Here is a 23,824-nt window from a genome sequence, read left to right on the forward strand (position 1 = left end):
ACACCAGTTAGAATGGCAATCATTAAAAAGTCAGGAAACAACAGGTGCTGGAGAGGATGTGGAGAAATAGGAACACTTTCACACTGTTGGTGGGACTGTAAACTAGTTCAACCGTTGTGGAAGTCAGTGTGGCGATTCATCAAGGATCTAGAACTAGAAATACCATTTGACCCAGCCACCCTATCACTGGGTATATACCCAAAGGATTATAAATCATGCTACTATAAAGAACATGCACACGTATGTTTATTGTGGCACTATTCACAATAGCAAAGACTTGGAACCAACCCAAATGTCCATCAATAACAGACTGGATAAAGAAAATGTGGCACATATACACCATGGAATACTACGCAGCCATTAAAAAAGGATGAGTTCATGTCCTTTGCAGGGACACGAAGTTGGAAACCATCATTCTCAGCAAAACAGAAAACAAGAAAATAAAACCAAACACCCCATGTTCTCATAAGTTGAACAATGAGAACACATGGACACAGGGAGGGGAACATCACACACTGGGGTCTATTGGGGGCTGGGGGAGGGATAGCATTAGGAGAAACACCTAATGTAAATGACAAGTTGATGGGTGCAGCAAACCAACACAGCACACATATACCTATGTAACAAACCTGCATGTTGTACACATGTACCCTAGAACTTAAAAAATAAAAAAAAACAACTTGGTATAGCCACATACACTACCTTTGAAAGATCTCCAAAAAGTGAATGAACATTACAGGATTAAAAAAAAAACCTACATGACATTATTTTCCAAAGGTACATACAATTATGTGATTATAAATCCATTAATTGTAAACCAGTTACAGTGATTACCTCTGTATCACCACTCTGGTAAGCGGAGGAAGGCAAGAGGAGAAAAGGGCTGGGGATGGTCAAAGCAGACTGACACCACATCTATAATATTTAAATGCAATTTCTTTTCTAAGAAGTATATTTAAGAAAATCTATGTACTAATTGAAAATTTTAAAAATAATACATTATAAACACTATGTTGAACTTTTTCTTCCAGCTGGGATGAAATGAGGCTGGATTCTTGAATGACTAAAAAACACTGGACAAGGCCAGGCACAGTGGCTCATGCCTGTAATCCCAGCACTTTGGGAGGCCAAGACATGTGGATCACCTGAGGCCAGGAGTTCGAGACCAGCCTGGCCAACATGGCGAAACCCCATCTCTATTAAAAATTACAAAAATTAGCTGGCCATGGTGGCGGGTGCCTGTAATCCCAGCCACCCAGGAGGCTGAGGCAAGAGAATCGCTTGAACCTGGGAGGTGGAGGCTGCAGTGAGCTGAGATCGCGCCACTGCACTCCAGCCTGGGCGACAGAGTGAGACTCCATCTCAAAAAAAAAATTGTTTCTAATGTTTACCAGAGTCACTAAGCTTAGCATCAAGTTTTGTATTACTTAAACCAAATGTGACTATATTTAAGGCTAATACAAAACCCAAAATTCATGATTTCTAAAGTGAATTATTCAGTCCACCCTTACAGGTTTTAAGGCTTACAGAGGAGTAAATTCTTAGTTCAAGTCCACTGATATAAAATAGAACATAATTTTGCCCACAAAATAACAAGAACCACACTTCAAAGTCACAGCATGTGGCTTGATAGTAATTTATACCAAATAGTTCTTGGTTTTTACTTTATATGCAATATGAACTAAAAAGGCAGAAAGTCACAAACTAGCTTTCAGATTATAAAACCAAGATAGTATTCCTCTCAAAAATTATTGGAAAACTACAGCATAATTTCTATTGATTTGTGGAAGATCAACTTGCAAATCACTCCCACAAGTGTACCAAGTCCTCCCTCCACCTATTACTTCCAAGGCTCTGCTTTCTATTGATATGAACATGTGCCTTAGTTACTATCGGCTGGTCTAGAGGTGCAATAAAATGAGTAGAAAGCCCACCCCAAGCGGACTAAGATAAATCCACTAAGCATTAAATTTTATAAGCAAAACGCAGTAACACACTATTAATTCAATAAACATGTAGATTTATTTTAAGTCAGTTTGGTACATGATACAGATTGGTTTTGCAGTTTTTAATGAACTGAAATAGAAATGTCTAAATACAGCAGTATCTGCCTGTGCAACAAATATCTGTAAGGTAAAATAAGGTATTTGATAGAAGAACATCTGCAAGAACAAATCAGATGAAAAATCTGAAAAGGTTTCTATATACCTTCTGGATTTTAAAAAAACCCAAAAATTAATGGCTCAAGATACTACATTGCTAAAGTTAGGGGAAAAAAGTAAAAAGGCTGTGAGTTCTGTTGCAAGAGCTCATTTGTAGACTTGCAAAATCTAACTAATTTTATATTATGCTTGTTGTTAGAGCAGTGCTCAAAATTACAGAAGCTTCAAATTGTTATGTTTTCACAAAATTTGCTACATATGTTGACATGAATGTGTGTCAGGGAATTCATACCCAGGTAAATGACAATTACATCAGTATAGCTAATTTTTGCCACCTTGGGAGGAATGGAATTCTGCCTATTTTCGAATTAATCCTACAGCACTCACTAAAAACTAACAGCCATGGCACCATAATACATTTTGTGAGGTACCTAGAATATTACTAATGGAAACAAAAAATGTGAGGTAAACCGACCTTTCCCCAAGAAACTTTGAAGCCAGAGATTTTAAACAATTAAGGCACTTGAAAACATTAAGTATATGTACAAATGTGCAAGTAAAACAAACAGCTGTACCAACGAGTAACAAAGAAACAGTAAATCTTCATCTTAACAACCTTTAATAGTTATCTAAATGCAGAGTTTGTTTATGAAATGAAACAAAGCAGTTTGTCATTTCTTACTATAAAATATTGAAAATCAAGTGCGAAACTCAGCCACTATTGGCTAAAGAAACTAAATAAAAAACGTTAATGACCTAGAAAAGCAAAAGCCCATTTTAAACTACTTAAAGCCTCTGCACTAGTCCAATGAGTCAAAGGCAAGGGAGAAGTAAACCTCTAAAACTGAAGACGACCCTCTAAAGGAGAAAACTATAGAAGTTAAAGTATGCATGCTTATTATACTATGGGAAACCAAGAAGGAAGGGAGAGAAAAAGAAAAAGCACAGTCTATTCATCCAGGACAATCAGTAAAAATCTACAGTAACCTGATCAACCAAAAAATCCTTAGGTGTTGTGAAATTACATTGGTCACTTCTGTTATCTTAAAACTTAAAATGATTGTCTCATTTAAAATAAATGATTCTAAAATAATATGATTGTCTCATTTAAATAGTAAATGATTCTAAAATAATGTATATCCTTCTTGCCTCACCAAAGAAGTCACTACTCAAGACAGTCTGGTGGAAATCCTTTCAAGGTACAATAGTGCTAGCATACTTTTTTTTAAAGTACAAAGGAAAGTGTAATTAAATCAATTTAGCTCTATACTTTTCAACAGCCATAAGAAAAATGTTGGGAGGTTCAAGATACGAAGGCTTTCAATTCTGTATAACAGACTTTAGCTTAAGTTTCTCCGCTCTGAAATAAATTTTCAATAAAATATTAACAGTATGATATCTAAAACAGGTTTACTACTGCTCACATCAAGTTACATCCTCTGACCAATCCTTACCTTCCTTAATGTCAAAGAACAAATCATAGACATTAAGCTAGAGCTTACCTTTCACTGTCTTCTAAGGCACTGTTCTTTATATTCTCAATGACATAAGATGCTTTACAAGTATGAACAATAATCTGTTATACACACTAATGGTATCCTTTCATTTCTTTAAATCTGGAATGTAGTTCCTTGTGTGGCATCTTATTTCTAATGTAGAAAAAACAGCTGTTATCAAGCACAAAATTTTAATCTAAGGATACCATTTAGTACTACTAAATTAATAAATTTATTCCACTTTTGAAATGACAGCCAAAAATCCACCTAATTGATTCTCATTTGGCACGTTCTTCTCAATTCTGTTCACTAAATTAAAATTACTAAATTTAAACTGCCAAGAGCCATGATGTTGTCTGCACAAGACAACATTTTCCATCACTTTCAGAAAGTTATATTTGGCATGTTAAGGAAAAAAAATATAATCCCACAGCAGCAGCTATTTAAAATAAGACAGCCACAGGATTCATGCAGAATATTTTAAATATTCCTGTTGAACACAATGATTTAATTGATTTTTTCTTCACGGATGATGCTCCCAAACATCCTATATGCATCCATGGAAATTTAAAGATCCTGGAATAGCGTCTTCCATGTGGGACATCTTAAAAGATAGTATTTTGGCTTCAGTGAGTTACACAAATGAATCACCAGTCCTTATTAATTCAATGGGTCTGTTTACAGAGTGTGGTAATTTCGTTCTTTAGATTTGCAGAATTTATAAAGAAAGAAAATTACAGCCTGCACACCCAAGACCAGGACAATTCCTCCAATGAAACTGGCTGCATCAAAGGTAGACTTTCGCACAGGTTGTGAGGTTGGAGTCACAGTGTTATTTGTTGTACCTGTTAGATAAGACAAAAGAAACAACAATCCTAAGTTTCATGGTCCTCTATTGTAATTTAAAGATGCACCTGAGCCTCTATTTTGCCATGTGTTAAATTCTATAAAGTATTTCCTCAAGTCTTTACAGCTAGAATTTATCCCTAATTGAGGAAGACAACCATATCCCATTTTTCATTCCACCCAAGGATACAAAGTGGTCAATGCTACTGTACTAGTACAAATATAAAAACAATGGGAAAAATTCTCCTAGTACATAAATTGTGCCCTGGGAATGTATCAAACACTTCTAAAATATGCAACAATTTCTTCAGACTATGTACTTTTAGTTAATTGTGAGTGTAAACGTCAATAGTGCTGAGAATTCACATGACTTTTGAATTTACTAGTATAAGGTAAAATATTTGGTTGCAATTTTTCATGTTACAAAAATAATCTTAATAATATGCAATTTATAATTTCAACAAGTAAAATAACTGTTTTTAAAGGCATATCCTGCCAACAAATTTCACATGAGAAAGTATTATCAAGTAATAAGGAAAAAACAAATATCTGAATTCTTTTCAGGCAGTAAAATGTTTCAAGAGGAAACAGAAAAAGCGATTTCCATTTAAAATAATCTAAGAAAAAAGTAACAGTTATCAAAGAACACTGGTTCTGGTGGCTGTACAAGTTGGTAACTTTAATGACAACTGTTTTGTATTCCTTCTCGTGAAGACAGAATGGCTTCACTGAAACTGAGAAAAAGGTGGCATAAGCATGAAGAAAAAGAAATCACAAAAAGCAGGTAGAAGATTCATTAGCATCAGTTTTTTAAAAATATGGAGGGAGGAAAGGATTCCTAACCTGTGTACCTACAGTATCCTGTGGCGTAACCTAACTATGAATTAAATTAGATTATGTCAAATCATCATTTAATAACAAGCTAATTTTCACATTACTGAGCAATGTTAAGAAATGGTTAAGAAAGTGAGGTGCACATCTGGTAGTGATTCTGGCTTTTTAGACCTTTCTCAGTGAAAAGGACGGATATATTATCTTCCCTCAAATCGCCATGCTCTCTCATACAGCACACAACCAATCCCTAACGGTAATCAGAAGTTACAAATTAGATTTTACATACAAGTTGTACTGAAATGTTTGGAAAAACATTATTACTTAATTCTAAAGTGTCACGTCAAATGTGATTACACATTTAAAAATGAGAAGAGGAATCTCAGCAAAGCTATCATTATTGTGTTAACAAAGCACTACCTTGATCCCCCCTAAGAGTAAGAGAAGAATTTCAGTTCCATAACCATTAACGAAGAAAGCTGGAAAATGATGGCAGAAATTGTAAAGGGCAACATCGTGCACACATCCTGCATCATTGCTAATCTAAAAAGCCTCAATTACCTGATGTAGTAACTGTCTTGGAAGTTGTAGAAGGGGAGGGCTGAACTGTGGGTTTAGCTGGAATGAAAACAAAATGTCTTTTTAAAAAACCTTAAATTTCTAGCTTCCCAGTTATCTAACAGCTTTAAAAAATAATCCTGCCAACTTCAACATGCTTTCAATTTTTTAGAGACCAAAAGCCAAATTTCAGTTAATGGTTCACTAACATAGCTATGCACCCAAGAATACTAGGATTTAAGTGTATTTTAAAACAATAAGCAATCATAAAATTGTTAATATCTATGTATCTATCTTGTATAAAATCTATGTATACATCTGGATAAAATTTGCGAAAACTCTTATCTTGCTCACTGCCAAGGGCAAGAACATTTAGGTGAGGAAACTATAGGTTCTTCATAATCTTTCTCCTAAGACAAAAACTATTAAAGTCGTAAGTTCTCTCTTACAAGGGTATTGAGATTTGCCTATCTTCTTCACTTCAGGAGTTGGCAAACTTTTCTTAAATGGGTTGAAAGCAAATATTTTACTCTTTGGGCACTGTGTGATGCAAAAGCAGCCAAAGTCAACATGCAGACGAATGGGCATGGTATGTTCCAATAAAGCTTTATAAGAACAGGGGCCCTGGGCCCACAGTTCCCCAACGTAAGATTCTAAGAGCCCAAGGTTAAGTAAGCTCTAGTCCACCACACTGCATGAGGCCAAAATACTATTTGAGTTGCCATTACTAAAGGCAAGAACTGCAATTACTTTTGCACCAACCTAATAGCTGATGATACTGCTAAAGAAATGTACACTCTGAGAAGGATTAGTTTGAATGTAAAATCATTTTAGGGACTAAAGCACTCTTTTTTTTTTTTTGAGATGGAGTCTCGCTCTGTCACCCAGACTGGAGTGCAATGGTGCATTCTCAGCTCACTGCAACCTCCGCCTCCCAGGTTCAAACGATTCTCCTCCCTCAGCCTCCTGTGTAGCTGGGATTACAGGCATGTGCCACCACACCCAGCTAATTTTTTATTTTTAGGAGAGACAGGGTTTCACCATGTTGACCAGGCTCATCTTGAACTCCTGACCTCAAGTGATCTGCCGCCTTGGCCTCCCAAAGTGCTGGGATTATAAGCATGACTCACCTCGTCCAGCCAGTATATCACCTATTAAGTTTCTATTGGTAGTATGAATACTAATAGAAGTCTGACCAAGGCTTTCAGAAAGGAAGGATGTGAATATAGTTTCTACAAATTAACATTTTTTCTAACATCCAAATGGCTACCAAATAAATTCAAAGTTTGCTGGAGCATTTGAGAAAGGTTTCATTAAGAGGTTGTCCTAAGGGTAGGGTTCAAATTTTTGGAAAGTGCACTATAGGAGTCACTAGCTAAGAGAGCTTATTTTGTCTCAGGAAATCATTAGGTAAGTCAGGCTTCAGAGTGCAAGGGCTTCAATATGAGGATATGCTTATGCTGGTGGGCCGCTAGGGATGATCTGGGGAAAGATGAGGAAGATTAATCATATGAGATTTATATTTTTATAAAAATGTAAGGTGCTATGCAAACATTCATTTTTGTACTATTTCAGAAAAAAGGGTTTGAAGGCTAAAGAGAATTTGGAAAACAAATGTTACTTCTGTTTAAAGTACATAACTGAACAGACTTCAAAGTGATATGCTTAACCCACGAAAGACAGGGAAAGGGTGCCAAATAACTGTTGATGAAGCACAGAAATGAGTAATCTTTTCACTGCATTAGACTTTCAAACAATCGAACAAAAACCTCAATAGGAATCAGCATCCTCCCAAATTCTACTAATATAAAAGAGGAAGTTCTGTGCTTTAACAGTAAATATACACTAAAAGAGCAGGGCTTGACAGTTTTCAGATATTGCTAAATACCTGAATTGTTGCTAAAAGTAGATCTTTAAAGACCAGGACTCTCGTAACAGGCTGACTACCCATAATCCCAAGGTTGACTGAATCCTAGGAAACTAAGGTATTCTAATTTTCACATGACCATGAGTCACAGAGAGCTTAAGACTTCTTTTATTAATATTGATACTACTTAGAAGCTAATAGGTGATATACAAATAATACTGATGGATATGTTCAGACCCATTTGCTTTCTTTTTTCCCTCTTACTTCAAGCATTGTTGTACATACTTCCATCCATCCTGCTCTTGATTAAACAGTTCTCTCAACTCTCCATGCTGAGAAAATCTTACAGGAAAATATTTGACCTTATCTCTGGTAAGACTGGTCCTTACACAGAATTCTTAGATTAGAGGCTGTGGTTATGTTAAAGCTCATTATTTCTGTCAAGGTTTTTACTGCTTCTGTGTAACCACAAAAAAATACACTTTACAAATTAAACACATCAAATTCTGTTCAATCTCAAAACACTATTACCAATTGTTTGACAATGTTAGGAAAAAAATTCTGCAAATTTGCAATTTGGTTCTCATTACCCAGCCTCAGAACAAGGTAAAAACTATTTCTTTTTAATAAGTAGGCAAAATATTTTATTTTCGATTTTGAAAAAAGTATTGCATTGACAATATTTTCAAAATAAAAGCACCACTTAGGGAATATACCTCTGTTGACCTACTGTTTCTTTTACTGAAAAAAAAAGATTCATTAGGAAAGGTTAAAAAAAAATAATAATAATCATAAGTTATAAAAGTTGCTATTAGTGGTAAGAAAATCTAGAAAATGCCAAAAAAAATACTGAATTAGTCCCATCAGAGTAACAGGTTACTTCTTGCCATTTTTCTAGGCATGTATATAACAAGAGCTAAAATTGTATTACAATTGCTTAATACAGTTCATCTTCCACTTCATATGAACATTTTCCACTGTATCTGACATATTTTGGCTATTCTATTATTTGTACTGAAGGAGGGCCATTATAATTAACCTCATTATACACCCTTCTATATAAATTAGATTCTCTTTGCATTGTTTAACTACCCCTTCACTTCTCACTTGCTCTCTTCGGCAGACGGTACACATGCCCGGAAAAGAAACCGCCTAAAGGTTTGTTCTTCAACTAGTGTCAGTCAACTGATGCATTTTCTGCAGATAAGCCCTTGCTGCTTTCCCCCTTTACAGCACCAAAGAGAGCTATAGCACAAAAGACTCATGGCAATTCACAGGAGGACCCAGGGTGGAGAAAGCTGCAGAGAACTACATCAAGAGTGAACCCAGTTCTCAAGAAATGAACAACAGTTCTGAATAAATTGTTCCCCCACTCCCTGCACCCCATTTTCTTTTCATAACCAACCTTCTGAAAATTACTTTTCTCCAAACACCTCTGGTTTCAGCAACCTTCAACATCCTACTTAGTCAATGTCTTCTAATGAGTGTTAAATATTTACGACCACATCACCATATAATCATCAGCTCAAAATAAGTTTTGTATCATTTGCAGACTTCCATGGCATGACTATTTCCATGGTAACCAGTTTCAAGTTACCAACATGGTATCACTGAACATGGGCTGGGAAGAGCTACTACACAATAACTGGCTAGCAAAAGCTGGTCCAAGCCAGCTCCACACACCACTGCGTAAGTGTTTCAAGATGAGTTGTCCTTGTTACAGCATTTGACTACTTCTTCCTTTGAAAAACTACGCCCACAACCACATACTGTTAGTTTCTTGCACATACTTCTCTGGGCTTTTTTACTACCCTACCCCCATCCCTATTTCCTCCCGTCTTCTTCCTAGCCCTTAGACATTACTGTTTCCTAGAGTCTGGTCTTCAAGCCCCATCCCTTCTTTCTATATGCTCCTCCAGTGCCTCTACTACTGCCTATGCCTATTTATATTTTTAGCCAAGAGCTCTTGCCTGACTTGCAGTTTCCTGAATACTGAACAGATCCCACTTAAATGGATTCTAGGTATCTTAAACTAAAATCCCAAATGACAGGCCCAACCATCAATAGACTGCTCTTCCTCTTTCTTGCTTACTTTGGTGAAAATTCCTCCCCTTCTCCCTATCACTCTACCTCTCCTCCTCTCAGTCATGAAGTCCTACCCCTTCTACTTCCTAAACTTATTTGCAAACATCTGCAGCCCACCTCTATCTGTTCTCTAGAATTATTGTAACAGGCTATCTAATCTCCTGAGTTCCTTCTGGCATCGTTCCAATCTACTCTCCACAATGCCAGAATAAGTTGTTTTATTAAAATGCAAGTCTGATCATATGACCTATAAACTTTAAAATCTTTCAGGATAACATCTAAGTCTACCAGCAAGGCATACAAAGGTGTTTCCCAATTCTGCTCACCTGGTGAGCAACTGGTGATGGACCAGCTTAACTCCTTCTCACCTTGTACAGGATGGGACACTCTTTGAACTCACCGTACTACTTCACATCTCCTCCGCATGTGCTGACCCGCTGCTCCACTTCAGAGGCTCTCTCCAAGTTTTCCAGTGCAGTTTCACTACCAAGCTATCACCACATCTGCATCCCACCCAATACACATTCCTTCTTACAAATTTCCCAATACGCTGTGCTCACTGAGATCTTTCATTGTTCCTACAGTAGACAAAATGCTGGCTTAACCCTACCATTTACCCTAGTACTTGTCTTGGAATAGACGCATTTAATATTGGTAAAATGTTAAGTATTTAATATTTACTCTTCCTCTCAAGTTAGTAAATTTTAAGGAGTTCTTATCCATGCTGTTGAGGGCACGGTAAAAACTTTCCAGGTTGATGGGAATGAAAATAATAAATCTTTCTGGAGAGCCTTAAAATAATCATACCCTCTGACCTAGAAATTCTGTTTGACTCAAACCTATCAGAGATAAATACAAATGCAATTCCATGTAAGATGTTCACTGCATGGAGAATGAGAGACGGCCTAATTCTCTAATCAAGAGCAGGATGGGTAAAGTGTATACCATAATGCTTACATTAAGAGAGAAAATACAGGCTGGGCTCGGTGGCTCACACCTGTAATCCCGGCTCTTTGGGAGTCTGAGGTAGGCGGATCACTTTAAGTCAGGATTTCAAGACCAGCCTGGCCAATGTGGTGAAACCGTGACTCTACTAAAAAAACAAAAATTAGTTGGGCATGATGGCAGGTGCCTGTAATCCCAGCGACTCAGGAGGCTGAGGCAGGAGAATCGCTTGAACTTGGGAGGGGAAGGTTGCAGTGAACCGAGATCGTACCACTGCACTCCAGCCTGAGCGGCAGAGCAAGACTTCGCTTCCAAAAAAAAAAAAAGAAAAGAAAAAAAGAAATACAAAGGTGCATGAACGTTATCGTACAATTTCATAAAAAGTGTATTTATTTAGATACACATAAAAAAGACTAGAAGAAATTAATCACTGAAAACATTTTGGTTGCTCTGGATGATGAGAATTATAATTTGCTTTAGGCTTCTATATTTCCCAAGATTTCCACTAAATCTATAAAAAGTACTTTATAGACTCAATGTACACAGCCTCAGCAAATCTGCTCACATTCACCGACTATAAAACACTGGAGCTATGTGTCACTGTCACAAAAGGTAGAGATTAACGTTAATTGCTGTGGTCCAAGACTTTTAAGTTTTTACTCATCTTTAAAATTATACTAACAACTTTTACATAATTATTTAAAACTAATCCATCAAGAAAGCTTAAAAATACTGAAGGAAAAGGAAGAAAACAGTCATCTTGAATTACCTGTAGAATTGGCTGTTGGCACTGGAGTGGCCGTGGAAACTATTAAAAAAAGAAAAAAGAAAAACCATATACATCAAAGCTATTTAAAATATCACAATCTATAACGCTAGTTCCTGACCTGCAATCATTTGAGTACTTTTCACAATTTTTACAACACTTAAATACTACCTGTGGAAGAGACTGACAGTTGCCCCCAAATACCAGTCTCTTCTTTAGAAATAGAATCACCAATTTTTATCAACACCTCCCTTCCTCCTGAAAAGACATTTCCTAGTCTCCAGTGCTTCCAGGCCATCACGCATAACCTCTAGGAAGCATCCTTAAAGTAAGATACAAGCCTCTTTCATTCCCTTCTTCATCCTGCTGGCAGGAAAATAATCAATGTGATGGCTGGAACATAAGGACCCACCTTGGACAGTAGGGTCAAAGCCATTTTTGAGAGGTGAAAGAGTAAAAACCTAAAGAAGCCTCAGTCCCTAATGGTTGCAGAGCTGAACTCTAGTCCAGACTTCCTTTACATGAGAGAAAAGTAAATCAGTCCACTGCTTAAGCCATTGTAATTTGGGGGTTTATGTCCTTCATAGCTGAAACTAATTCTAACTGGTACATCATCAAATATGCAGCAGTACAAATACAGTTTTCCTTTAAATCAGTTTTCAAAAACGTTCTAATACTAATGAAATCTTCATTAATCTTGTCTCTAAGCAATATTACAAAACCACAGGTCTGACAGTTATTAGTTTATCTAACACATATTAAAGTAATTACTTAAAATGTTTCAGCCAGGTCCAGTAGCTCAAGCATGTAATTCCAGCACTCTGGGAAGCCAAAGTGGGAAGACTGCTTAAGCCCAGGAGTTCAAGACCAGCCTGGGCAACATAGTGAGACACCATCTCTACAAAAAAATTTTTAAATTAGCCAGCTATGGTGGCATGCACCTGTAATCCCAGCTTCTGGGGAGGCTGAGGCAGAAGGATTGCTTAAGCCCAGGAATATGAGGTGGCAATGAGTTATGATTGTGCCACTGCACTCCAGCCTGGGCAACAAAGAGACTGTCTCAAAAAAAGTTTGTTCGTGTACCACCTAACTATATTATGCACCCTGTGTGAAGTAAAACTGATCTAATACTAATGAAATGTTCAGTTACAAAATTCACATTGGGATGGGGCAACCCCTACCAAAATTAAAGAGTCAAAGGTAGTCTTTCAAGGTTAGACACACTGCACAAAAATCTTTTTCCTATTCAATTATTATCTATGCATCAAATTAGGAATATGCCTTTCCCACTGATTTACAATCTCATTGGAAAAATCAGCAGCTTCAAGTAGAATTTTAACGTTTTGCTGGACGAATAGTAAAGGTTAAAAATTAATCAAGTTACTCAGATTAAAATACAGAAAATGGATGGGTATAGAAAAGCTCATTTAACCACAGCACCAACTATGCTGCAGAATAAATTTATCAATCAACAATCCCCAGTATCGCAACACCAAAAGTGCCAGAATGAGGTTTCCCAGACCTGCAAGATGCAAACATAGCGGCTAAACTGTGATGAATTCCTAGAAAAGTTTAAAAAAAAAAAAAAAAGTGTGGGGGCAGACAACGCATCCACACTTACAGCATCCACACTATAGCTAAATCACTAAACCAAGCTTCAAATATCATCCTTTAATCAATCAATATGAATATACTATTCATATTCCAATTCTAACAAGATGAGAATTATGGCAATGCTTCAAACAAAGCACTGAAACAAGGCTTTCTGAGGCAATGATCTTCCTCACCTCTCTGCGGTCAGCTTCCAAGCAGCCAATATGAATACTTACCGGAACAGAAGTCTGTCGTGTTCCCCACTTGACAATCACTAACTGTTGAGTTATGTGAACAATAGCTCTCATCTGTTGGGGGGCAGGGGAAAAGAGACAAACAGCATCAACCACCCATTTGTATTATCTTTGACTCTGCTACTAAGCTCTATGAAATCAAACCCAAACACTTTAGAAGTGGGCAGGGGGAACCACTTTAGGTGTTTTGACCTAAAGTTAAACCCACAGACCAAACCCTGTCATTCTCCTTTTCCCACTGACTTAGAGATTACGCAGGATCCTTCTAACTTTTATCCATTAAAAATCCACATTAATATACTGAAAAAATAAATCTGCAACACTTAGATCTCAGAATTGTGGGAAGACTACTGTACAATCAAGAAAGGCAGCCATCATCTAAAAAGTGGGCAGGTGGCTCACGCCTATAATCTCAGCACTTTGGGAGGCCAGGGTGGGAAGATCACCTGAGGTCAGGAGTTCGAGATCAGCCTGACCAATATGGTGAGACCCTGCCTCTACCAAAAATACAGAACTCTGTCTCAGGGAAAAAAAAAAAGGCGGAGACAGTAAGTTGAAGTGGTCAGGGTCTGTATTAAGAGGTTAGTAAACAGATGAGGCACCCCATAACACTGTAGAAACTCTATTCCAAATCTCACTGCTTTAGTCTTCTATACTTTCTAAAACAACTTTCCTGGATAGGTAGACTTGGAACAAGAGTAAGGGGAGAACCTTTCCCAACAAATCTTAAAGTAGAGCATTCCATCTCCAAAATTCACCAACTCTTACATACTCCCATATAAAGGGGAAAGAGTACGCCCTTAAATCCCATTTTATGACCTAAAAAAAAGAGACACTTCTATAACAAAAAAGTTAATTTGGCCCAATTTAGTTAATACCTTAAAGAGCTTTTTGAAATTTATGTAGTGATATAATTTCTAGAACTATTAAAATTTTTACCAAATAAAAAAACTTATGGTTTGTTTTTACTTAAAAAAAAAACCGCCAAAACAACTAGATTGTTTTACTGATAAGTGCAACCACTTTACATTAAAAAACAATTAAAATAATGTATGCAGTAATATGGTTCTAATAAGAATCTTATTGAATTTCAATGTACGTCCCTTTAGCGCTCTACCTCTTGTATTAACAAAAGCACAGGAAGTCAACTCTCCCTACCTCTTTCTTCTCTACACCTAAGCATCCAACAGTTTCATAAGGTCTCTTTATATTTCATGTTGCAGGACACAGTTTTCAACACAACCTTCACTCACAGCTAATTCCAGTGTATTAAAGTACTCTCAATCCTTAGAACAGGCTTTAAAAAAAGCCAGGTGAGGAAGCACGCATCTGTAGTCTTGGCTACTAGGGAGGCCAAGGTTGGAGGATTGCTTGAGCCTAGGATTTCAAGACCAACCTGGGTAACACAGGAGACTCCATCTCATAAAAAACAAACGACTGAGCTTTAATTATCAAGTCTTAAGGAATCTAAAGGGAGGATGGGAGACAAAAAGAGATTTTCAGGGGGAGTGCGAGGCAACTGGCACTTTAAAGGAGTACTGGATTTGCAAAATAAATAGTGCACAATATCCTAAATGTCCTACATAACTTTCAAGTGTTCAAGAATTACTGTATTTTAAAATGCTATAACAAAACAGTTTTGCATCCCCAAAGTTTCTTACCTTTACATTCTATCCAAAAGCAGGTAGTATTAACAACGCTAACATTAAAACAGGAAACGCAGCTGTTTCGACCTTCACAGGTTTCTGGGGAGTTGGGGGGAGAGATGCATGAAATCAATGATTTTATTAGTATCTTATTTGAATCTGTATTACTTATCTTTTTGAACAATAAGCATTACATACAGCATCAAAATTACTAATTCAGATAAATGATAAAACTTTATACTGGTTTACTAAGAAATTCCAATCATTACAAAGCTGTAAGTAAACGCATTAGAAAAACAAGCTAGTGGTCACTCTCAGTACAGTGCCTGATGGTATCTGTCTAACCAATCCTTTTTCACAGGACAACTATTGGAAGACACCCACAGCCACTAAGGATTTAGGCATTTCAAAGCATCCTTAATACATAAAAATATCGAGAAAAAGGCTTTGATATAATACCAACACTACACATAGGAAAACCACTACCCCCAAACATCAGATAAAACCCTGAGATTTTTAGTAGTAACAGTAGTAGTTTAACAGGTTGAACCCAAGCACTGATGATGCCCATTCTGCTGCAAACAAAGATAATTTCCCAGGGATTCTCGATTCATAAATGATCCACTCTCGACAGGATCCTCCACAACTGGAGACAACATCTAAAAGCCCATATTCAAGTGCATACAATTCAGGTTAACAAGGTATTTGTCAATAGTTCATCCTAGGCCAAACAATCCAGAAACAAGTACTCATCACCATAATTCAATTTCTGGAGAAGAACGGACTATAAAATTGGGCTCTATTTTCCAGTGAGAAAAAGCAGCAAAATAAAAGAAAAAAAAGAATTGGGCTCCATTCATTTTCCTAGAAACTAGATGCCTCCAAACATTCTCGTTTGCTTTGCTCCTGCCTAAAAAATAGTTCTGCAGAGGCACTGCTTTCAATACTTCATCATTAGTACTTATTAAAGACTGGGACATGTACGGTGGGGTGGGGAAGGGTTCATAAAGTAAAAATAAATTTTCTGAAGTTTGTATAGATAAAACATGCTGTTTAAAAACCTTTGTGCTTGACGGGTGTAGCAAAGTGAAATGTCTGAAATGTTCTTTACAATGAACTAAACTTGCTACCTTTCAGACCACACTACATCCACTTATGATTTCCAGAAAATACATACCTCCTTTGCACGCACTTCAATTACACAAAGACAAATTAATTTGATACTTCCAACCTTCTCTTACACACACACTACAATTCTGAAAGGAAACTGTCAAATTAAGACTGAGACAAACATATTCTGCTCTATCATCTTAAAATAGTGCGGTTAGAATTCCCAGTATTATACTGCAATTTACTTCCCTCGTTTTGAAATGTTACCATTACATCTTCCTTAAACTAAAAACAAAACATTAAGTTTACTATATACTTTATTAAACTTTTATAAAATACTAAAACTAGAGGAGAATTTGTAGAATATGAATGCCGTGATAAAAATCATTACACTTCGGCATTCTTCGGTCAAGAAGCCAATGTTAACTACGTAAACATTACTCCTTAACTAATGTTAACTAGAATAACCAATCATACGAGACTGCAGGTTTTAAACCTCTAGTGTTTCTCCCGCTTATTACCTCAAACTTATCTTCCTTCTCTCTTTTGTGTTGTCACGGTATATGGCAATTTCTGCTTTAAAATGTATGTATGCCTTAACCAGCCCTATGCGACTGCACATAACAAAAGACACGCTCCTGATCGGGTTTTAGAAAACCCACAGACCTGGGCACAAACCCCCGTTCCACGACCTACTAAACATACGCTATCTGAGCACAGGACATAGTTAAGAAAATTTTAAAAACAATTGAAAAAAGAATAAACATACAATGTCAGGAGAGTTTACTCATCTCCGTCTCTGCATCTACCTCCTAGGTTTCACTACCTACCTTCCAGTTTAGCCTTAGGATACGTACGCAAAACACCCGGTACATACATGGGTACTTTTCTTCCTTTTCGCATACTTTGAAGTGTGAAGTTTTCACTAACTACGTGCTCAAACGTCAGCTACATTCTATTCCTATCTGCAAAACCAATGTAATTAAATCTCAAGCGACCTTCTCAGACTCAAGTCTGAGACACGAACGAGCATTACCGTCTTTAAGTTTCTCTTTCCCGGACTTCCGGAGAAGGCTACCTCCGGAGAGAGGCGCCGGGAGGGTGAACAACCAGTGGCAGGGAGAGGCAGCTCGGCCCCACCGCCAACCTCAGAGGCGCGACGCCCGGCCCCATCCTCAACCCCACCGCTGCCCCCGCGGAAGGAAGCCACGTCCCCATTTCCGACCCCAAGTGAGGCTAGGAATTACGATGCACTTTTAAAAGGCACCTCGACTTGCAACACTTCGAGGGGGGCCCCAGCCCCGCAGCCACTGGGAACCGCGCGTCCGCTTCCCCCCAGCGCGCTCCCCACCCGGCCCGGCCACGAGTGGACTCCAGGCTGGCCGCCATGTTGCCGGAGTCGCCGCCGCACCCCGAGCGCGGCCCGCCCGCCCGACCGTGGCCCGAACCCGGGCCCCGCCCGCACGGCGAGGAGGCAGTGCGGCTCGGCTGGGCAGGGGAGGGCGGGAAGCCCACAGGGCCCGCGCCCACCTGGTGCCGGAGTGGTGACCAGCGGGAGGGACGTCACCGGCGCCGAGGTTACGTTGGAGATGGGCGCTAAAGTCGTCACGTTCGGGTGCTGGGTCGTGTTCTTGTCCGCGGACAGCACGCAGAGCACGCCCAGGCAGGTGGCGGCCCAAAGCAGTGAGCGGGAGAGCCGCGACATCGTGTCCTCAGCGCTGGCGTTCGGGAGAAAGCTAAGGCTCGCAACGCTCAGTCAACCCCTCAATCCCCTGCGGCGCCGCCTCCGAGACTACGCTCCCCCGCGGGAGCGCGCAGGGGTCACGTGAGAGGCCCCTGTTTTCGGCGTGCGGGGGCGAAGAGGAGGGAGGTGGGGCTCGGACGATACCAACGGGAATCCTACGGGGGGAAGCAGGGGAGTCGGGAGGAAGCCGAAGGAACCTGGCCCTCAAAGCGACTGTGCCACAGCCAAGAAAACTGGGAGCTTCTGCAAATCGTTCTTCTTGCCCTCAGATTACCAGACACGACGCAGCTGGACTTGTCTCATGCCTGCGATAGGGACGGCCCCCACCCTGACTTGCATGGAACAGTCGACATAATGTGGCCTACTGCTTCCACCTGAGCGCCCCGCCAGGCTGTAATTCCGCGGGCCCACGTGACCTCCGGGGCCGCGCCTTCCGGACGCAACTCCACTGGGGCGGAAGTTGGTTTTGTGCGGCTCTCAAGAACTAAGTTTGTGCTGTGCTGCGGGATCCCCAGGGAGCTTCCTTATATCTTCGGCAGGACCCCTTCTTTTTTTCTTGAAGATTGATTTTGCTAGAAGTTATCCTGTGATGGGACTCCCTAGGGGAATGGAGGCACCACGTGGTTAAGGAGTTTGTGCGTTGCCGCCCACATAGTGTGGGCAGCTGAGGCGCCGCCCGGATCAGAGCCGCAGGGCGTCTACTCTGTCACTTTCCCAACCTGACTTTTCCGGATTGCTATTTCAGACGGCGGTTGCAGCAGCCGACCTGTCTCAACTCCACCACTGTAGTCAGAGAATCAAAAGCGGTCTGAGTTGCGAGGTCATTGGGGAGGCCCCCACCCCCACATTACCAGTGAGGAAACTGAGACTTAAAAAAGTGACCTGACCTGGACACGGGATTGCCTGACATCAGAGCTGGATTCTTAAGTTCCTGTTAGTGTTAAGGCGCTGCTCAGACTTTTAGTAAAGGTGAGCGCCATCTACTGCCAAGTCTCACAAAATATTCGCAAAATTTGATACGGTTATCACATGGTAAAAATTAGACTTTAAAAGTTGTATTTAATGCTGTGTTTTCAGCTGTTGTACACTTATGTAATTTTAATTATGCAAAGTTATCCTAATAATATAGGAATATTAATTGCTTTCGTGAGGTCTGTCTTGATGTGCCACGATGACTTTTTTGATGTGCCAAAAAAGATGACTACATAGTGCTTTTACCTTTTTGCTCAAATAGAAAGATTTTATTTCCCCTTGGGATCTTTTCAGTGTCGTCCTTCTGTACCCTCAGGACTATGAACATTTGTTCCAATGACTACGCTAGTTGGAGTAGTGTTGCTTGGATGTAAACAAAAAGCTGATAGTTTTGACTGATCCAGCCCAGAAGCATGAGAATGCTGTCAGGGAAGTGAGCTCCCACCATAAGCCCTTCAGAGAAGTGTCTGCTCTTCTCTCAGGAGGCCTCTCTCTATATTTAACACTTGACTATCTGGCACCCAGACCAAATGAAAGCGCAAGGCAACTTTAATTTTTTTTTAAGGTTAAGAATGTAAATAGGGGCCGGACGCGGTGGCTCACGCCTGTAATGCCAGCACTTTGGGAGGCCAAGGCGGGTGGATCACCTGAGGTCCGGAGTTTGAGACCAGCTTGGCCAACATGGTGTAAACCCCGTCTCTCCTAAAAATACAAAAATTAGCCGGGCATGGTGGCACGTGCCTGTAATCCCAGCTACTAGCAGGGCTGAGGCAGGAGGATCGCTTGTATCCGGGAGGCGGAGGTTGCAGTGAGCCGAGATCACACCACTGCACTCCAGCTTGGGGAACAGAGCCAGACTCGTCTCAAAAAAAAAAAAAAAAAAAAAAATGTAAATAGAAGCTCTGTTCTCAGAGCTTGGTGTGTTATCTTCTTTCCACCCTAGGATAAACACACTCCTCTGTGCAGACCATTGTTTAACAATTTGTCACCTGGATGTTTAACTCTAGTCCTCAGATATTCCTCAGTCCTGATAAAGGGACATTTCACGCTCTTGTTTTAAGACTAGAAAACCATTGGTTTATTTTATTTTGCATGGCAACTGTAGAGGTAGATCAAGGGAGTTCCAAAGTCATTTTCACCATTTCAGAGAGACAGCTTTTTTTTTTTCAGTTCCTGACAGTAAGCTTCTGTTTATTGTTGTCATAGAGCAGGGTTTCTCAATCTTGGCGCTATCAAGATTTCAGGCTGACTCATTCTTGCTTGTCCTGTGCATTGTTGGATATTCGGCAGTATTCGTAGCCTCTACACACTAGATACCAGAAGCACCCCACCTCTCAGTTGTGACAACCAAAAATATCTCCCGATATTGTTAAATGTCTCCTGGGGGTAAAATCACAATTGAAAGGCACCCTCAGAGCGTTCTTCTGTGTGCAAGGTCAGCCATCACTCAGGTTATTTCCTCTTAGACACATTGCTTGCAATTAGATTGTCGATTGGTTGTTAGAGCGACCTTCTTAACCATTTATTTTCTTGAAAGCAGCAAGACAGAGTGCTTCTGCGCTTGTGAATCTTCTAGCAGTATAAGCTCCCTCTAAGTTTTTTAAACAGCAGATTTTTAAACAATGCTTCAGCCTTGTGTCAGTACCTTTCCCCAAATAAACAGATCAACACTCCAAACAGGACCCTGCCTTCTAGCTATAACTAACATCCAGTGGCCCCTTAATAATCAGAGGTTTGCCTCCACTACTTGATAGCAAGAAGTACAAACCCCCTTGTACTAGCTTATGTTAAAGGGAATCCATTCACTGTAAGAATATGACAGTAAATCTTATAGGCATTCAGGGGTGGGAAATCAAGTGTGTGAGGGCCAAGGGAGACTTGAACTTAAAAGGAGGAATCCCTAGCACGTGGAGCTGGTTTGCTAGGACTTCGTTTCAGGCTTCAACCCTACAGGACATTGCCAGATCTATAGACCCACAGCCAATCATCTCCATTGCCCAGTATTCCAGTTATATAGCTCTTGGAAGAGATAACTTGACTGAGTACCATGCCTTCCCAACCTGTCTGTTACCTACTCTCTGCTCTGACTCCATCCATGCAGTCTACACTAGAGCTCCCTGAACTTCCAGTTCTCCTAACTGGTCATGTTTTCTTTTGCATGTGGATCTTCATCCATGCTATTTCTTCTGCCTAGAACATTCTTATTCCCTTCTGGCATCTGACCAACTCCTACTTGTTTGAGGTCTCTCAGCTAAGCTGTCACTCCCATCTTAAGCTATCCTTAAAATATTCAACTACCCCTTTCTCCCCACTCCCAGACTACAAAAGGTGTTCCTGCTCTGTGCACCCTGGACTTGCCCATAACAAAGCATATACTGCATTATATAGCAGTTGTCTTTCTCACTAGATTAACTCAGAAATAGTGCTCACCAGTTTATTCCCTGCACTTAATTAAAAAAAAATGAATAAATGAACAAACTGGCTTATTTCAGTCAGTTGTCCACCCTTGCCAAAAATTAGCTGCATTAAAAAGCACAGGAGGAGCCCGGCGTAGTGGCAAGCACCTGTAATCACAGCTACTTGGGAGGTTGAGGCAGAAGAATCTATTGAACCCAGGAGGCAGAGGTTGCAGTGAGCCGAGATTGCATCACTGCCCTCCAGCCTGGGCAACAGAGTGAGACTCTGCCTCAAAAAAAAAAAAAATAAATAAATAAAATAAATAAAATAAAAGCGTAGGAGGGCAGCTGCTACAAATAACTCCCTGAACTCTTCAGCTGTGGGTCAGGGTAGATTCATCTAGAGGAGTATGGGTGGGAAACAAGGGCTGGCATCTGTAAGACAGTTTTAACAGCATATATTAAAGCTCATTTAGTAGTATTTGAATCTGTTTTGACAAAGAGAAGGATTGGAATAAATCAAATATTAGCTAAAACTGTATATTCAGAGTCTTAATATTGTGATTAAGATTAAGGGTAAAATTCTGGAGATATTGTCATTAGGAGGCTCTCCACTTTGACTGTGGATGTTTCTTTGAAAAGTGTGCCAGGGCGCCAGAGGGGAGCATTACACTTTAGAGCAGTTGTTCTTAACCCTGGCTGCACATTGGAACTACCTAGTGACATCAGTGGTGGTGGTGTGTGTTGAAAAATATTGATACTAGTGCCTGGGTACTGATTTAATTGGTCTGGAGTAATGTCTGAGCATCAGCAGTTTTAAAAGCTTCCCAGGTGTTTCTAATCTGCAGCTTAGGTGGAAAACCAGTGCTTTACTCTTGCTTTCCAGAGTGTGGTTCTCAAACCATTATCATTTATATCACCTAGAAATGCAGAACCTCAGGCCTCCCCCTCAGATCTCCTGAATCAGAACCTACATTTTAACAAGATTCCCAGAAGATATGTACATGTGTAAAGTATTAAAGTTGGAGAACAGCCGGATGCAGTGGCTCACGCCTGTAATTCCAGCACTTTGGGAGGCTGAGGCGGCAGATCACCTGAGGTCAGGAGTTCGAGACCAGCCTGGCCAACATGGCGAAACCCCATCTCTGCCAAAAATACAAAAATTAGCCAGGTGTGGTGGCGGGTGCCTGTAATCCCAGCTACTTGGGAGGCTGAGGCAGGAGAATTGCTTGAACCCAGGAGGTGGGGGTTGCAGTGAGCCAAGATCGTGCCATTGCACTCCAGCCTGGGCGACAGAGTGAGACTCCATCTCATAAAAAAAAAAAAAAAAAAAAAAAAAAAAAAAAGTTGGAGAACACTGCTTTACACTATGACTTGCACAGAACTATTCTATCCTGAACTGCTGCAATTTTTTTTCTTTTTTGAGAAAAAAATGAATAAATAAACTGGCTTATTTCAGTCAAACTGGCGCAATCTCGGCTCACTGCAACCTCCGCCTCCCCAGGCTCAAGTGATCCTCCCACCTCAGTTTCCTGAATAGCCGGGTGCGCCACCACACCTGGCTAATTTTTTGTATTTTTGCTTGAGACGGAGTTTCACCATGTTGCTCAGGCTGGTCTAGAACTCCTGAGCTCAAGCAATCTTCCCCCCTTGGCCTCCCAAAGTGCTGGGATTACAAGCATGAGCCACCATGCCAGGCCTGCAATTCTTAACAGTGATTCATTTACAAAATTACATCAAGATATACTGTTTTTGCTTCTTTCTTTACAAACATATGTAAGGTTAGCATACAAACAGCACAAACCTCCTGGATGTGCAGGAGTCAGGGAGCCCAGCCCAGGTTCCCTTAAGGCTGGCACCCGAGATGCATGATTTTTATTTGTATTCTGCTTCAAACCCTGGGTCTGCTAGAGCTCTTTGCATTACGTCTCTTGGTCCTTCAGGAAATGAAACCTTTTCCTGACTTGTTCCTTAGGAATAACCTCCAAGTTCAAGCTAAACTACACCTCAGGCGGCTTGCTGATATCTTGGATTAGCTATGGCTTCCCCTTGTCCCTAGGTATTCACTGTGCTTCTCCCGATCCTGTCTTGGAGAGCTGATTTTCAGCCAGAAGACACCTCATGGCCACTCTGGTTATTAAAATATTCTAGTAATTCTGTACTGACTGGCAAAGTGCGTGTCCTGAGCGGCCCAAGTGTCCAAGTCCCTTCCTAAGGATCTGACTACCACGTTGCCACTGTCCAGCACCTGGAGGTCTCACATCTGGCCCTGCTAAGAACCTCAGGACCTTGCAACAGAATTCTGGTCACTGTCTAATTGGTCAACGTATGTGTACCTCCTCTGCTGCCTTGATGAAATCAAGGTTTCTTGTCAGTTTCCTTCATTCTTCCTTTTCTGTTGTAGGTTACACTTTACTGTTATGACTTTTCTCTTCTACATACCTGTGTGCCACAGATCTATGAGAGATCTAATATATCCCATCTGTTCTTAAAGTGTTGTCTCCAGAACAGCAGCAGCAGCAGCATCACCTTGAACTTGTTCAAATTCTCCAG

At 40.1% G+C, this 23,824-nt stretch overlaps 1 protein-coding gene across 6 annotated transcripts, besides 4 other annotated features; it reads right to left on the reverse strand.

Annotated features, from left to right (window-relative positions):
• Positions 2,000-17,953, reverse strand: CD164 (CD164 molecule). Of its 6 annotated transcripts, NM_001142403.3 has the most exons (7): positions 17,690-17,953; positions 15,065-15,148; positions 13,386-13,457; positions 11,560-11,598; positions 5,897-5,953; positions 4,408-4,503; positions 2,000-3,811 (listed from the first exon to the last, which is right to left on the reverse strand). In NM_001142403.3, the coding sequence occupies exons 1-7, from the start codon at positions 17,862-17,864 to the stop codon at positions 3,765-3,767; spliced, it is 570 nt and encodes a 189-aa protein (NP_001135875.1). In that variant the 5' UTR covers positions 17,865-17,953; the 3' UTR covers positions 2,000-3,764. The 6 variants fall into 6 exon arrangements, with proteins under 6 accessions (NP_001135875.1, NP_001135876.1, NP_006007.2 ...); NM_001142404.3 differs by lacking the exon at positions 4,408-4,503; NM_006016.6 differs by having other exon boundaries at positions 2,000-4,503.
• Positions 17,411-17,690: a silencer, noted in NCBI's record as "silent region_17458". NCBI's record gives its function as "represses an Ori minimal core promoter by ATAC-STARR-seq in GM12878 lymphoblastoid cells {active_cell/tissue: GM12878}" and the evidence as "EXISTENCE:reporter gene assay evidence [ECO:0000049][PMID:35858748]".
• Positions 17,846-18,355: an enhancer, noted in NCBI's record as "H3K27ac hESC enhancer chr6:109703563-109704072 (GRCh37/hg19 assembly coordinates)". NCBI's record gives its function as "activates a minimal SCP1, AML or CMV promoter by ChIP-STARR-seq in naive H9 embryonic stem cells {active_cell/tissue: H9 hESC(naive)}" and the evidence as "EXISTENCE:reporter gene assay evidence [ECO:0000049][PMID:30033119]".
• Positions 17,911-18,260: an enhancer, noted in NCBI's record as "active region_24922". NCBI's record gives its function as "activates an Ori minimal core promoter by ATAC-STARR-seq in GM12878 lymphoblastoid cells {active_cell/tissue: GM12878}" and the evidence as "EXISTENCE:reporter gene assay evidence [ECO:0000049][PMID:35858748]".
• Positions 18,341-18,570: an enhancer, noted in NCBI's record as "active region_24923". NCBI's record gives its function as "activates an Ori minimal core promoter by ATAC-STARR-seq in GM12878 lymphoblastoid cells {active_cell/tissue: GM12878}" and the evidence as "EXISTENCE:reporter gene assay evidence [ECO:0000049][PMID:35858748]".

This window comes from Homo sapiens, chromosome 6 (assembly GCF_000001405.40).
Source record: "Homo sapiens chromosome 6, GRCh38.p14 Primary Assembly".
NCBI classification, from domain to species: Eukaryota; Metazoa; Chordata; class Mammalia; order Primates; family Hominidae; genus Homo; species Homo sapiens.